Source organism: Homo sapiens, chromosome 12, assembly GCF_000001405.40.
Source record: "Homo sapiens chromosome 12, GRCh38.p14 Primary Assembly".
In the NCBI taxonomy this organism is placed as follows: Eukaryota; Metazoa; Chordata; class Mammalia; order Primates; family Hominidae; genus Homo; species Homo sapiens.
Genome location: NC_000012.12, coordinates 40374112 through 40390478, shown reverse-complemented (window position 1 = coordinate 40390478; position 16367 = coordinate 40374112). Strand labels below are relative to the sequence as shown.

Below are 16367 nucleotides of genomic sequence, written 5' to 3'. Positions count from 1 at the left end.
GTTTATATATCTAGCCTGGCCTTTTCCTCTGAGCTCCAGGCTCATATTAATCATCTTCATTTGAATGTCTGCTAGGCAGCTGAAACTCAATGTGCCCAACATGAAACTCCACTTCCATGTTCCATCTCTTCCACAGATGTGCTTCTCCCAATGTCTTTTCATCTCAGTTAATGGAGACTTTGTTCTTCCAGTTACCTCTACCTACAGTTTGGAGCCATCCTTGACTCCTCTTTTTCTCTCACCCATCTCCTACTCATTCCATCAGAAAATCCTCTTAATTTTTACTTTAATCTTGAGTCCAACCTCTTCTCTGCACCCCCACTACCACCACCCTGATACCCCTCATTTATGCTGCCATCACCTCTGGCCTAGATTACCATAATGGACTTTCAGCTAGTCTCTCTATTCATCTACTTATTCACTGTGGCTAATCTCAGGACATCAGCCAGCATGGTCCTGTGCAAACTGACTCTTATGCTGTGTTTCTCCACTCAAAACTCTGCATGGCCTCATTTCATTCAAAATAAAACCAACACCATTAACATGGCTTACAAGGCCCTGCTCCATCAGCCCCAACTCTCTCATCTCACCTCCTACCTACCTATTCTTACTGTCTCCACTCCAGCCTCAGAGGCCTCCCTACTATTGGTGGAGCTCACCAGGTACACTCATACCTCAGAATCACACTCAGAATCTGATATGGTTTGGCTGTGTCCCCACCCAAATCTCATCTTGAATTGTAGTTCCCATAATCCCCCTGTATTGTAGGAGAGATCCAGTGGGAGGTAATTTAATCCTGGGGGTGGTTACCACCATGCTGTTCTTGTGATAGTGAGTGAGTTCTCATGATATCTGATGGCTTTATAAGGGGCTTTAGCCCTTTGCTAGGCACTTCTCCTTCCTGCTGTCATGTGGATAAGGATATGTTTGCTTCTGCTTTTGTCACCAGTGGATCTTTTCTCCTAGAGCTCCCAAGGTGGTGGCAGGCCACACCCAAGATGGCAGCAAGCCTTTTGTTCTCTGACCTGGGGTTCTTGGCCTCATGAATTCCAAGGAATGGAACCTTGGGCATGCGGTGAGTGTTATAGCTCAATTAGAAGCTGTGGGTCATGGAAGAGAACCGTGGAATGTTTGGCTCAATTAGGATGGACCCGGGCACTTAGCTGCACAGGAACAATGGTAAGCCTCTAGTATGATCAGGAGTCACAATGGTGCCTCACTGGATCAGAAGCACAGCAGACACCCTGCCAAATCTGGAGGGGTGGAGTCAACAGTGGGTCTGCAACAGTGGCATTCAGCAGTGGTTGATGGTGAGCAAAAGCTCAGCTTGAGCTGGAACAAACATGGATCAGAAGAGTGTGCAGTTGCAAGATGTAACGGAGTGACAACAGAGCTCTCATACAATGGGAGGGGACCCAAAGGGGGTTGCCACTGCCGGCTCGAATGCCCTGGGTTTATATCCCGATCATTGTCCCTCCCCTTGTGCTCTCAGGCAATAGATGATTTCACTATTTCTTTACCTCCTGCTCTTAGACTAATTGGTGAGCCCTCTTTACTACCTGATTGGTCAGGTGTGAGCTAAGTTATAAGCCCTGTGTTTAAAGGTGGGTGCGGTCACCTTCCCCAGCTAGGCTTAGGAATTCTTATAGGAAATCCAGCTAGTCCTGTCTCTCAGTACCCCCTCTCAACAGGAAAACCCAAGTGTTGTTGGGGAGGTTGGCCAATGACTGCGCTAACTGCTTCCTGCTGAATTGGGGTGTAGTAGGGGTCATGCAGTTGATATTTCCCCAGGAGGGGTACCTTCGATGTCATCAACATTGGAGCATGGGCTAGCAGGCTGGTCCAGGGGTCCACAGTACATCTTAGTCATGGACTGCATCTGGGGCTCCATTTGAAGAATGATTTGTAGTTTTACAGCTTCGATTCTGGAAGAGACAAACTTAACAAGGAGGTTAAAGATACATGGATGCAGAAAAAGGCATCTTTAAGGTCCGGGACCATAAACCACTCTGCTTCCCCTGGTATTTGGGAAAGCAGGGTATAAGGGTTAGGTAGAGCTGGGTATAGAGGTACAACGGCCTTACTGATAATCCTGAGATCTTGCACTAACTTCCACTGTCCATTGGGTTTCTGTACTCCTAAAATTGGAGTATTGCAGGGACTATTGCATGGTTTTACTAAGCCTTGGGCTTTTAGGTCTTTAACAATCTTTTGGACTCCTTGCTGGGCCTCATGTCTAAGTGGGTACTGCCTTTGGTAGGGAAAGGAGGTGGAATCCTTTAGTTTAACTTGAATGGGATGGGCATTCTTCGCTTGTCCATATTGTCCTTCTGTTGCCCAGACTTCAGGACTAATTCCTTCCTCAAGTAGGGAACAATAACCTGTGTTCCCTCTCCTATGCTCAGGTGTATAATGGCCCCTGCTTTAGCTAGGATGTCTCTCCCTAACAAAGGAGTGGGGAATTCAGGCATAATTAGAAAGGCATGTGAAAAGAGTGAAGTTCCCTAGTCACAACTTAGTGGCTGGGAGAAGTATCTAGTGACTGCCTGTCCTAAGACCCCTCAGATAGAGACAGATCTGGAAGACAGTTGTCTGGGACAGGAGAGTAAGACTGACAAGGCCACACCAGTATCCAGAAGAGAGTTAACCCCCTGGCACTCAATGGTCAAGCATACCTGGGGCTCTGTGAGGGTGATGGCATGGGCTGGCGCTTGCCCCAGGCACCCTCAGTCCTGCTGCTGGATTATCTGGTTAGTGGCTTCTGACTCAGAGGACCTTTGTCCCCTGGGGCAGTGGGCCTTCCAGTGATTCCCTTGACATAAGGGGCATGGATGAGGGGGTGGCTTATTTCTATTCGGACAATCTTTTTTAAAGTGTCCTTGTAGACCTCACTGGAAGCAAGCCCTATTAGGCATTTGATTTGCCTAGCCTTTCCCTGTTCCAGAGCCTCTAAAGTCCACTTGCCTGAGGGCCATGACTAAAGTGGTGGCCTTTTTCTTATCCTGTTTGTCCCGTTCTGCCTGCTCCTCCTGATCTCTATTATAAAAAACCGAGGTTGCCAAGTTCAATAGGGTTTCTAAGTTTTGCTCCAGGCCTAAGGTGGAATTTGAAGTTTTTTTCTAATGTCTGCAGCTGACTGAGTGATAAACTTATCCTTTAACCTTAGTTGGCCTTCAATAGAGTCAGGTGACAGTGAGGTATGCTTCCTCAATGCCTCTCTTAGTCTCTCCAGAAAGGCAGTAGGATTTTCTTCCTTTCCCTGTGTTATAGTGGATATCATTGACTAATTTATTAGGCTTCTTCCTAGTTTTCCTTAGTCCTTCTAGCACGTCAGTTAGCAAATATCTGTGGCACCAATCTCCATGTTCTGATTCTGTGTCCCAATGAGGGTCTACACTGGGAACTGCCTGCTGGCCTGTGGGGAATTGTTCTCTTTCCTCTGTTATCTTCCTATCATTGACCTGACTGAGATACCAGAGATCACCAAACTCTCGGACTGCAGTTATGGCGGCACTTCTCTCATTTGGGGTTAGTGTCTGATCTAGCAGTAACATTATGTCTCTCCATGTCAGATAATAGGGTTGTCCTAACCCTTGTAAAACATCAATATAGCCATCAGGGGTATCTGAGAATTTACCTAGGTCTATTTTAATTTGCTTCAAGTCTGACAGAGAAAAAGGTATATGCACTCTGGGCTGAATTCTCCAGAATACATCTTAGTGGCATTTTTGCCTTGGGAGAAATGTTTCCCATCTGGAAAAAGAACATAGGGATGCCGGCAACCCTAGTCATTTTCCAATGAGCATTAGTCCTAGAGCGTCCTCTATGGTCCTAATGCTTATTCCTTTCCAGGGTGCATAACCACCCATGGACCTCTGCTTATCGGATTAGTTACGCTCACCGATGTAGTAGTCCTGCACGCCTTTTCCCACCTTTCTTGACCACAGAGAAACGGGTCTGGGCTGCTGGATTCTAGAGGTCCTTTACCAGCGTGCCCAACATTGCCTTTGCGCTAGGGGTGAGTTCTAGAGCTGGGCTGGGCTTCTGAATATTTCATAAGAACCCAGCTGCCCCATCAAGATGCATTCCCATAAACAACAGTTCTTATGCAAATTCATTTCAGAGAGGGTGTAGACAACCTTTTGAGTCAGAACTGAGATAGAGTTTTTGCCCACTAGGGCCTTTGTCCTTCTTTTCCTTTGTAGAAATACACCCTGATTATCAGTCTTAAATTTTTTGTTGCCCTGGATTAAGTCCTTTTGGGTATGAAATATGAGAGATGGATCTTTTTATCCTATGTGCCTTTTTCCTGTGAGAAGGAGAGCGAGGAGAAAAAGATGGGCTTGCAGGTTTTTTAAGTACTTTAAGGCTTGGCTGAGTGCAAAATTGGTCTGCACGTTTGAGCAGACCAATTATTAAGCAATTTTCCTAACTCTGCTTTTACGAGAGTTTCCCTCAATTACTGAATACCAATTGTGTTTTTTTCCCTCAATCACTCGGGAGGAACCATCTATTGCCCTGTCCTGAAGGGAGTTCCTCCTAGGTCTGGTCGGACCTTTGCATAATAATTAAGATTTAAATCCCCTGTTATGAAATCTGCTGGGTTAAGGGAATTATCAGTGGTTAGTGTTAAATCACCTTTTTCTAACAGAAGAGCCCTATACTTTAAGATTTTTGAGTTAGTAAGCTACCTTTTTGCTTTTTTTGACTTAGGATAGCTCTGAACTGGTGAGGTGTGCTCACAATGAGATTTCCTCTAAAAGTTATTTTTCTACTTTCTTCTGTTAGCAAAGCAGTTGCTGCTACAGATTGAATGCATTTGGTCCATCCGTGGGTTACTGGGTTAAGGATTTTTGATAGGAAGGCTAAGGGTTGTCCGTGGTCTCAGTGTTTTCAGGCTATGCCCTTGTTTACACTGACAACAAGGTAGTATTGGAGTGTTATAGGGTCATGGAGAAGACCTTCAATTATCAATTATAGGTTTTAAAGTTAGCCTGGCTTTTAAAGGAATAGGGCACACTGTTTTTTCTTTACCACTTCTATCTTTCTCTCTTTCCCTCTTTTTCCCTTTTTTCTCTCTCTTTCTTTCTTTTCTCTGACTTTCTCTCTCTCTTTTCTCTCTCTCCCTTTTTCTCTCTCTTCTCTCTCCCTCTCTCTGCCTTCTCTCTTTTCCCTTTAATTTACTCATTTTGCTTTCACCCTGATCTGTTATGTTGTTGTAGACCCAATTCCAGTTGTTAAAGTACTGGGTCATCAGCTCTAAGGCCCTGGCCAAGGAGCCAAGGCTTGGAGATTGTATTGCAGGGGGAGGGTAAGCTGGGTAGAAATTGGGAGAGGAGAGTATCTTGCACAATGGGAGAGCAATCCTCCTAGCCACTTACAAACTTGGGGCCCTGGCAAGGGTGGTGGGGAACGGGTCCCACATAACTGCCCATGTCAAGAGCTGTATACCTAAATTGGGAGGGATACCAGGGGCAGACTCACTGGATTCACAGCCTAGATGCCTGAGGACGCAGCATTGAGCTTCCTTAGATCCCTTTGGAGATACAACTTGCTCTAATACTTGGGATAGGAAATGAAAGTCTGAAGCATTAGTACCTAGGAGGCAGGGATCAGAGGTAAGGAGAATTTTGGGGCTACACTTTCAAGAAAGTCTTGGTCAGGACCCAGGAGGTATGGGTCAGAAGGAGAGGTAGGGGCACATTCATGGGCAACTATTGAGTAGAGACTTCTGGCTGTGCCATGAACTCGACCGGCCAATGCCGGGAGTTCAGGACGACAGCTTTCTGCCTCTAGTTGGCCCTTGGCTTCCCCCAGGAAATTGTGAAAGTGGAAGCTGGTTCCAGGCAGACCAATGCTCCCAACCCAGAAGGGTTGGGGGTCATTAGAAAGCCTTTTTCCAGGAAGCCTCACACCTGAGTCTTAAGTCCGGTGGCCACGCTAATCATTTTTAACCAGCCAACAGGTGCCCAGTATTTCCTCCAATTCTAAGGAATAGGACAGAATAGCAAGCAAAAGTGGTCTATTACTCATCGCTTTGGAGAATCCCCGTGCAGGCAACCAGATGTTACCAGCAGGTCTTTGTTCTTAGAGCTCCCAAGATGGTGGTGAGCTGCTCTCAAGATGGTGGCGGCTGCTCCCAAGATGGCAGCAAGCCTTTTGTTCTCTGACCTGGGGTTCTTGGCCTCATGGATTCCAAGGAATGGAACCTTGGGCCATGCAGTGAGTGTTATAGCTCTATTAGAAGCCTTGGGTCATGGAAGAGAACCGTGGAACCCAGTGACTAGTGTTCAGCTCAATTATGATGAACCCGGGCACTTAGCTGCACAGGAACAATGGTGAACCTCTAGCCTGATTGGGAGGAGCAATGGGTGCCTCACTGGATCAGAAGCACAGCAGACACCCTGCCAGATCCGGAGGGGTAGGATTCAACAGTGGGTCTGTGACAGCAGCATTCAGCAGTGCTTGGTAGCAAATGAAAGCTCAGCTCGAGCCGGAACAAACACGGACCAGAAGAGTGTGCAGTTGCAAGATTTAATAGAGTGAAAACAGAGCTCCCATACAATGGGAGGGGACCCAAAGGAGGTTGCCACTGCCGGCTTGAATGCCCTGGGTTTATATGCTGATCATTGTGCCTCCCCTTATGCTCTCAGGCAATAGATGATTTGATTATTTCTTTACCTCCTGCTCTTAGCCTAATTTGTATTTTAGTAAGCCCTCTTTACTACCTGATTGGTCAGGTGTGAGCTGAGTTACAAGCCCTGTGTTTAAAGGTGGCTGTGGTCACCTTCCCCAGCTAGGCTTAGGAATTCTTATAGGAAATCCAGCTAGTCCTGTCTCTCACTTTTGCCATGATTGTAAGTTTCCTGAGGCCTCCCCAGCCATGCTGAACTGTAAGTCAATTAAACCTCTTTCCCTTATAAATGACCCAGTCTCAGTTATGTATTTATTAACAGTGAGAGAAAGGATTAATACACCATCCCACCTTTGTACTGCTGCTTCTGCTCCTTAGAATATGCTCCTCAGATAGCCACGCAATATGCTCCCTTACCTCACTAAAACTCAGATTTTTATGACATATTTTACAAATAGCTAGTATTTACTTCCGTTCCCAGACCAAACTGAGGATTGGGCTATTTCTCAGGGCCGAATAGTGAGATGCAGATGAAATAGGGAGGGAGAGAGTTTTAATTTCTGCAACCAGTTACAGGGAGAAGGCCTGGAAATTATCACCAGGCCAACTCCAAATTACAAATTTTTCAAGAGCTTATATACCTTAAGCTATATAGTATATAAACTATATGTCTAGGTGTAAATGTGCATTCATCTAAAGACATAAGTGATATAACGTCTTTTTTTTTTTTTTTTTTTGAGATGGAGTCTTGCTCTGTTGCCCAGGCTGGAGTACAATGGTGCGATCTCAGCTCACTGTAACCTCCACCTCCTGGGTTCAAGCAATTCTCCTGCCTTAGCCTCCTGAGTAGCTGGGACTACAGGCGTGTGCCACCATGCCCAGCTAATTTTTTGTATTTTTGGTAGAGATTGGGTTTCACTGTGTTAGCCAGGATGGTCTCAATCTCCTGACCTCGTGATCTGCCCACCTTGGCCTCCCAAAGTGCTGGGATTAGAGGCATTAGCCACCGCACCCGGCCTAACTTCTTTAAATCTATAACTAACGTCTGAGTTCTGAAGGAGTTCCTATAGAGCCTCAGTAAATTTACTTAATCTGAATGGGTCCAGGTGCTGGGGTGATTATCCTTATCTTGTCTCCTGCTAAATCTCGGAGGTTTGAGGAGTTCCTTCAGACTCCCAATAAACTTGTTTATGGAGGCCTGGGGAGTTTCTTTAGACCCACAATAAAACTTATTTAGTCCTCAGTGGTCCTGTTAAGAATTCCTTCATTATTTTGTCATGCTTTAAGGCCCAGGAAATGCCTAGGCAAAACTATTGATGGGCTTTTGTTAAATCTCAGCCTTTGTATAAGGGCACTGGCTTTTAATATTTAACTTCACCACTCAGTCAGCACGGAAACAGTTGTTGTGGAGGCCTGCATTAGTGACACCTGGCCTGACACACTTCTACATGCTATAATTAGTTCTTCCTCCAAAATAACTTTTTCAGAGTTATAATTAGACTTCAGCTTTAATGAGTTAAAACCTCCCTATATGTAAGGGATTTAAAATGTGGATAATTTGCATATGTTTTAAGCAGATGTCTAAGAAGATGGATAATAACATAATAAGATTATATTATCAATATTCTATACCAAATTCTGTAATAAATTAAAAGACTTTTAAATTTCTTGCAGACCCTTTTATACTTTTGTGTAATTGCTATTTCTCCCAGATTCCACTTTCTCACCCCATGTATGTCTTTGCTCAAATACTAATTTCACTTGAACTCCTTTCCTGAATACCTTACTTTCAACTGCAAATCTTACCCCACTCCACTCCTTCCCTATCCCTATTCTCTGAAGCACTCACCACCAGCTGATGTATACATCTTAATGTAATCTATTTACTACATGTAGTTATTATCTGTCTTTAGTAGTAGAATGTAAGTTTGATTAGGGCAGGGATCTCTGCATGTTTTGTTCACTCTTGAGTCTCAATGCCTGGAAGAGAACTTGGCACAAATAAGTGCTTAATAAATATTGAATGATTGATTTAGTGAATAATTTTATTGGGCTCAAAAATAGGTTACATTAAGGCTGGGCACGGTGGCTCACACCTGAAATCCCAGAACTTTGGGAGGCCAAGAGAGGGCAGATCCCAAGGTCAGGAGTTTGAGACCAGCCTGGCCAACATGGTGAAACCCCGTCTCTACTAAAAAAATTCAAAATATTAGCTGGGCTTAGTGGCAGGTGCCTGTAATCCCAGCTACTCGGGAGGCTAAGGCAGGAGAATCGCTTGAACCCAGGAGGCAGAGGTTGCAGTGAGCTGAGATCACGCCACTGCGCTCTAGCCAGAGTGACAGAGTGAGACTCCATCTCAAAAAAAAAGGTGACATTAAATAACAATGGCAATAGTAATAGTCATAATAGTCATTTAGTCTTAAATAGACTTAAATAGTCTATTCAAAAAACCAATTCTTAAATAGGTTTTATTATTGCAACTATTTACATTGAGACGTGATTCAGTTTAATACAACATGCAGTTATTTCACACAGTACTTAAACTGGGAATACATGATGGATAAGAAGAGAGTCCTACCATTAGAAACTTCTAGCCTAAATTCACCCCCAGTGAGTTATTACAAAGGACGAATGTACTGGTGGTGTTAACAGTTTCTGTTTGATTTTAACAGTTCAAAATCAACTAGTAGTGAAAAATAATCACTAAGTTTTAATGATGCTTTCTAGAACTTCTCCACTGCAATGTTAATAACCATAGATAAAATTTGGTTTACACTGGAACTAAAAGTCAAGATAACAATAAAATGACAGCATATTATGTTTATATTTGTTGCTTTTCTATGAGTATTTTAAAACTTTTATGAAGACCCTGATAATTTGATGATTATGTATGAAAGCTTTTTTATCCTCTCAGATTTCAAAGCATGTGTAATTGATAACATAATAGAAAAAGTATATAATATATACACATGAATTAATACTATCAACTTAGCAAATGTTAAATAGAATGCAGAAAAAGAATTTTTTTAGGAAGAAGATTCATTTTGTTCAGGAACTTCTCACTAGGTAGCTTGTTTTACAATGACATTAAGCATGTAACTCTTTTGTAACAGTATATCAATTGGATAAAGTCGTCTAATAATATGAAAACATATACTGCATAACTTCTATACATAGATTAAAAGCATATCCATCAGAAAGAACAATAGTCAAATGTCTCCTTGTTTTAAAATGTTGTGGCTTAAGTGTCTGCACACTTAAAGATACAATGCCAGAGAAAAGGTCAACTGTTGAAAGAACAATAGCATCAGTATGTGCAAGGCAATTTTAATTTAATTTTATTTTATTTTAAGTTCCTGGATACATGTGCAGGATGTGTAGGTTTATTACATAGGTACATGTGTGCCATGGTGGTTTGCTGCACCTCTCAACCCATCACCTAGGTATTAGCTATTTATCTTAATGCTCTCCCTCCCTCCGCCCCCCAACAGGCCCAGTATATGTTGTTCCCCTCCCTGTAAATCAGTTTGTTTTTATGAAATGTTTGTACTAGGAGAAAATACAGAAAATGCTAAATAATATCTATTTGGATTGTGGAAAAGAAGCTCCCCATTTTCTATATATTATGAGCTGAAATTACATTTGAAAATGGATTGTCTGAAAATCTAAAAAATTTTTGTTATATGGAAAGTTTCATTCCAAGAGAAGTAAAAGTACAATTAAATTTTAAAATAAATATTATTTAAATTAACATAATTATGTAAAACATAAATAATGTTATTAGATGTAAACAATAAATAATTTTCTAAAGTGATTTATCTCCTCCAATTTAACTTTTCAGCATTTTCCTAGAGTAGTATTTAGTATGCAGAAGAAACTCACAATGTTGGAATGGACTTTCGGATAGTGATTTTAAAAAAGCATACATGAGAAATTTTGTCAGTGTTCTGAATAGAATATTATGGTGGTATTGATACTTGCAGTTGTCATATGAACTCCCCTTAATAACATTTTAAGAGGAATTTGAACACTGGCCTTCCCCTGGTAAATAGGTCTCTATAGTAAGCTGTATTCCTGACAAAAGTTCTATACCTGCGTCTTCTGTCTGCATTTGTATCATTGAAATGATTTCTTGTGCTCAATCATAAGCCATATTTTAATGGTCACTCTATCATTTGTCCTGCACAATCACCCACACAGTTATTATATCAGCTCCTTCTTTCTACATCTCCTCTTCTACTTCTTAACATTCATTACTGTCTTTCCATTCTCATTGTGCCTTTTTAGATGTACTCCTTTATGCACTTCATTCAGCCTTCCACTCCTTCCCACTCTGTAAACTCTGTTCTATCAGTGGTCACCACGTATAGCTTCATCAAGTTCATTTGCTTTACTAAGTCCAGATAGATCCTCATTGAATGTTCTGCCATTTTTTACTTCACTGATTATCTCTTTAAACTATCTCCTTCTCAGCCTCTGTCCTCTTCTAACTCTTCTGAATATGGCTTTTTTCAGAGCTCTCTTTTCTCAATGTGCTCTGCACATTGGCCAGGTCATCTTGTCTCAGGTTTTAATTGATAGTGTTATGGGCTAAATTTCCTTGTACATTGAAAAAATTCCTATGTTGAAGTCGTAATCCCTAGTACCTCAGAATATAACCCTGTTTGTGGATAGGATCTTTAAGGAAATAATTAAATTAAAGTAAGGCCATTAGGGTGAACCCTAATCCAATAGATTGGTGCCTTATAAGAAGAGAAAGTCTGGACAAAGACAGGTGCAGGGGGAAGACGATGTGAAGACACAGGAAGAAGACAGCCACCTACAAGCCAAGGAGAGAGGCCTGGAACAATAGTTCCCTTACAACCCTCAGAAGGAGCCAACACTGCCAATACCTTGATCTCAGACTTCTAGCCAAAATAAATTTCAGTGTTTAAGCCATCCAGTCTGTGGTTTTGGCAGTCCTAGCAAACAAATACAGATGGCCTCTCAACAGATGACTTACAAATCTGCTTCTGACCCCCCAGTCTCTTCTGAGTTTTGGATCAGTATTCACAACCATCTATTGAATATTTCCATCTGTATGTTTTATAAGAAGTTTAAATACATATGTCAAACTTTAAATAATTATCTGCACCAGACCTGCTGCTCTTCTTTACTTCTCAGTATATCTCTGTACCCAACAATCTAAGCTTAAAATCTCACAATTTTATTGAATGTATAGTCTTAATTTTGATGTTAAAACTGAAAAGGCATGATGTAGCAATGTTAAGTGGAAATGAATGGCTTTTTTCATTATCTGTGAATCATTTATATTTATTAAACCATATGCTCTAGTTGACAGGCTGGAGAAAATCAACAACTAAAACTGAGATGAGAAGCTCAGACATTTGGGAAATGTATTATCAAATGTTTTCAGGACAATTTTAGTTCATTCAGTGAAAGTAAATTAGTTTGTTTCATCTTTAAATTTAGAGACATAATGTACTAAATAAATATGTAAAACATAAAATTATATTTTAAGGAATTATTATACAAGAAATACCCATTTACCCACCAGCTAGGTCAGGAAATAGAACATTTTCCAGCATCTCAGAATCCTCTACCTGCCTACTTCTCAATTGTAATTCTTTCCCTTCTTTATAGAAATAACCACTCTCTTAATGTTTCTATTTTTCATTTTCTTACTTACCTTATAATTTTACCACTTATATTTATACATCCTTAAACAATCGAGTTCAGTTTTGATTTTTAATTTTATGTGAATGGAAGCATACTATATAAATTCTTTGCATTGTGTTTCTCTCACCCAACATTTTTTGTGGGAGTCATCCATGCCTTTTCTTTTTATTTTCTGCATTTTCACTTTAGTGTGTCAATGTGGGGATGTCCTAATTTATCTTTATTTGGAGTCTCAGTTTCTTGTATGTATGCAAATTGGTATCTTTCATCAGTTCTAGTTATATCCTAGTCATTATCTCTTCAAACATATTTCTCCTCTATATTCCCCTTCTCTGGCATTCCAATCAGACATAAGTTAGACATTATTACTCCACCTTGAAGAGTCTTGACTATTTGGTTTACATTGTTCATCTCTGTTTCTGTCCATGTTGCATTCTAGAAAATCCTTTTTGCCTTATCTTCCAGTTAATTAATTTTTCCTTCATCTGTATCTAAAATGCTATGAACTCCATATATGATATTTTAAATTATACATATTATATTTTTTCTTTTTAGAAGTTCTACTTGACTCTTTTTCAAATCCCCTTAATCATATTTATAGCTTCCTGCCCGCTGAAGAAATGTTCAAATGTGTCTTTATTTCAGATCCTATGTTTCACCTTCTGGTATTTGGACTCTTAGCTGTTTTTTTTCTGCTCTTAGTTGATCCTGAAGCATCTCTTTCACGTCGTCATTTTTCTCTTAAGCTTCATTTATTTGAACTGTACATTGTACACTGCTTATTGTCTTTAGAAAGCATATTATTTGAGAAATATTAATAGGATAAATATATATTTCATTAGAGAAGATTTAGATTTTCTTATCCCAGGCACCTAACTACTAATGGAACTACTTTCAATAATAAACCTCTCAATGTTTTTAGAAACATCTGTGATATAAATTTGACCTGTAAATCTCTTGTGACTTCAGAGTTACAATGACTCAGATGCTTTTCTTACCACCTTGCTATGCTCAACACCAAGACTATTTTACTTTGTGCAGTGAGGGACTGTAAAAGTGTGGCATGGGTGAAATCTGGTCTACCATTCTAAGAATAGCAGTTATGCATCACTTAACAACAAGGGCACTTTCTGAGAAATGTGTCATTAGGCAAATCCATCTTTGTGCAAAGATCATAGAGCGTACTTACACAAATCTAGAAGGTATAAGTTACTACACACTTAGGCTATATGGAATAAGCTTTTGCTCCTAAGCTGCAAATCAATACAGCGTGTTACTGTACTGAATACTATACGCAATTGTAACACACTGGTATTTGTGTGTCTAAGCATATCTAAACATAGAAAAGGTACAGTAAAAATATGATATCAAAGATTAAATATGGTACGCCAGTATAGGGCACTTACCATAAATGGAGCTTGCAGAACTGAAAGTTGCTCTGGGTGAGTCGGTGAGTGAGTGGTGAGTGAATGTGAAGGCCTAGGAAATTATTGTACACTACTGTAGGCCTTATAAACATTGTATACTTAGGTTACACTAAATGTATTTTAAAACAATTTTTTTTCTTTTTTCTTTCCATTTTTATTTTTGGAGACAGAGTCCTGCTCTGTCATCCAGGCTGGAGTCACAATCACAGTTCACTGCAACCTTTGCCCTTCACCTCCTGGCCATAAGCAGTCCTCCCACCTCAGTCTCCCAAGTAGCTGGGACTACAGGCCTGTGCCAACACACTCAGCTAATGTCTTGCATTATCGGTAGAGATGAGGTTTCACCTTGTTGCCAAGGCTGGTCACGAACTCCTGGACTCAAGAAATCCTCTTTTCTAAGCCTCCCAAAGTGTTGGACTTAGAAGTGTGAGCCACTGCACCCATCCTATTTTTTTCCCCTTAAATAATAAATTAAACTTAGCTTACCGTAACTTTTTTCTTTATAAACTTTTTAATTTTAAAACTTTTTGATTCTTTTGTAAAAACACTTAGCTTAAAACAGAAACATATTTTACAGCTGTAAAAATATTTTTCCTTAGATTCTTATTCTATAAGCTTTTGTCTATTTTAATTTTTTTTTAACTTTTTGGTTAAAAACTAACACAAACACAAACCATAGCCTAGAGTACTGCCTTCTGGGACAACTCCTGAAGGATCTGCCTGAGGCTGTTTTACAGTTAACTTTATATATCTATATATATACATATATATACACATATATATGTGTATATATGTGTGTGTGTGTGTATATATATATATATAATGTTTTGGTCAATGATGGACTGCATATACAATGGAGGTCCCATAAGATTATAATGAAGCTGTGTATATATTTATATGTGTGTGTGTGTGTGTGTGTGTATATATATATATATATATGAAGTACACTCTAAAATAGGCCAGGCACTGTGTGGTGGCTCATGTCTGTAATCCCAGCATTTTGGGAGTCGAGGCAGGCAGATCACTTGAGGTCAGGAGTTTGAGGCCAGCCCAACCAACATGGTGAAACCCCATCTCTACTAAAAATACAAAAATTAGTCGAACATGGTGGTGCATGCTTGCAAATCCAGTTACTCAAGAGGCTGAGGCAGGAGAATCCCTTGAACCCAGGAGGTGGAGGTTGCAGTGAGCCGAGATCACGCCACTGCACTCCAGCCTGGGTGACAGAATGAGACCCTGTCTCAAAAAAAAGAGAGAAAGAATACACTGTAAAATAATGATTAAAAGTATACTGTAGTAAATATATAAACCAGTAATATCACGTTTATTATCAAGTCTTAGGTAATGCACATAATTGTAGGTGCTAAACTTTAATACGACTGGCAGTACAGTAGGTTTGTTTATGCCAGCATCACCACAGGCAAGTGAGTTACACGTTGTGCTACAATGCTATGTCACTAGGGGGCAGGAATTTTTCATCTTCATTATAATCTTATGGTACCACCATTGTATATGCAGTCCATCATTGACCAACACGTTATGCAGCACACGACTGTAGTTATTTTGGGTTTCAGCTTTTACTGAAGAGTCAATCTGTAATTAGTATCTCCACGTTTTATGTCTTCTATTCCACATATACCTTAAGTCCTTTGAAACCTCATCTCAATTTCACTAGAATCAATAAATGCCTTCACCAAGGCAATTATTTACACATGCATTTATTAATTTATTTATTGAGTTTTCTTTCATAAATACTGTTCAGTGCCACCCACACCTGAAGGAACTCATTTTCCCCAGCCACTGGGAAGGTTGTCAACTTACCTTACAGCCCTCTCCTAGAAATACCTCTGCTGAAAATGTGACCATGCCCAAGCTCACTCTGCCTTCTTCAGGCATCCCCCATCTAACAACTGGTCTACGTGGGTATAAAGACACTTCTATCATTACACAACACCCTTCTTTTCCCTGATAAACTTCCTTGCTTGAGGTCTTCTCTGTCTAAAATTTTCATTTAATTAAAAGCTTCAGTAATTTTTTTTAAAAAAATAACATACATGATGTGAATTTGAGCAACTCCAGGAGGAATTGCTTATGAGCCTTCTCTGGGTCTTGTCAGTGAGTAGAAGGTGGACGGTTTTGCTTCTGATTGTCACACTGACTTGTATCCCTTTGGTGCCCCAGCCTAATGGAAATACCCATGTATTTGACTCCTGACCTTGAGATGTGATCTGATCCTTTCAAGGCTGGGGAAACTAAAGGTCAGATTTACCAGGTTAAGCAAATGCTCACAAGAAAACACAGCTTTGGTGTTCTGCTTATATCTTTGTGTTCCCACCTTCACTTTGATTTTGGCCATATAGTTCCATACCATCTCATCAGATCTTTGGTAATTTTAGATGTTCATTTTAATGTTCTTCCTTTCCTTTTAAGCTAACCTTTTTAGTTTTCAGGAGGTGGACTTCTCCAAATCATTAACTTGTTACTGGAAATGAAACAAAAGCCAATTTGTTTTCATATTATTTTTATTAACACAAAGTCAGTTTCTCCCAGCTCCCACTAAACAAATGCTAAACACAAAGTATGAGTTTGATAGGATGCCAAATTACCAGCTTTCCTGGTCACTGCTT

General features: G+C 40.4%; 1 long non-coding RNA gene across 4 annotated transcripts in view; it reads left to right on the top strand.

The window, feature by feature from the left end:
* LOC105369736 (uncharacterized) overlaps nt 1-16367 on the top strand; it is an 89145-nt gene that overhangs the window by 53418 nt on the left and 19360 nt on the right. For 2 of the 4 annotated variants that reach the window (XR_007063562.1, XR_944867.1), the window contains one exon: nt 967-1016. The exons of the other annotated variants lie outside the window; for them this stretch is intronic. This is a non-coding gene — a long non-coding RNA (uncharacterized LOC105369736). Of the gene's footprint in view, nt 1-966; nt 1017-16367 lie in introns of those variants that run through there. 4 annotated transcript variants of the gene reach the window in all.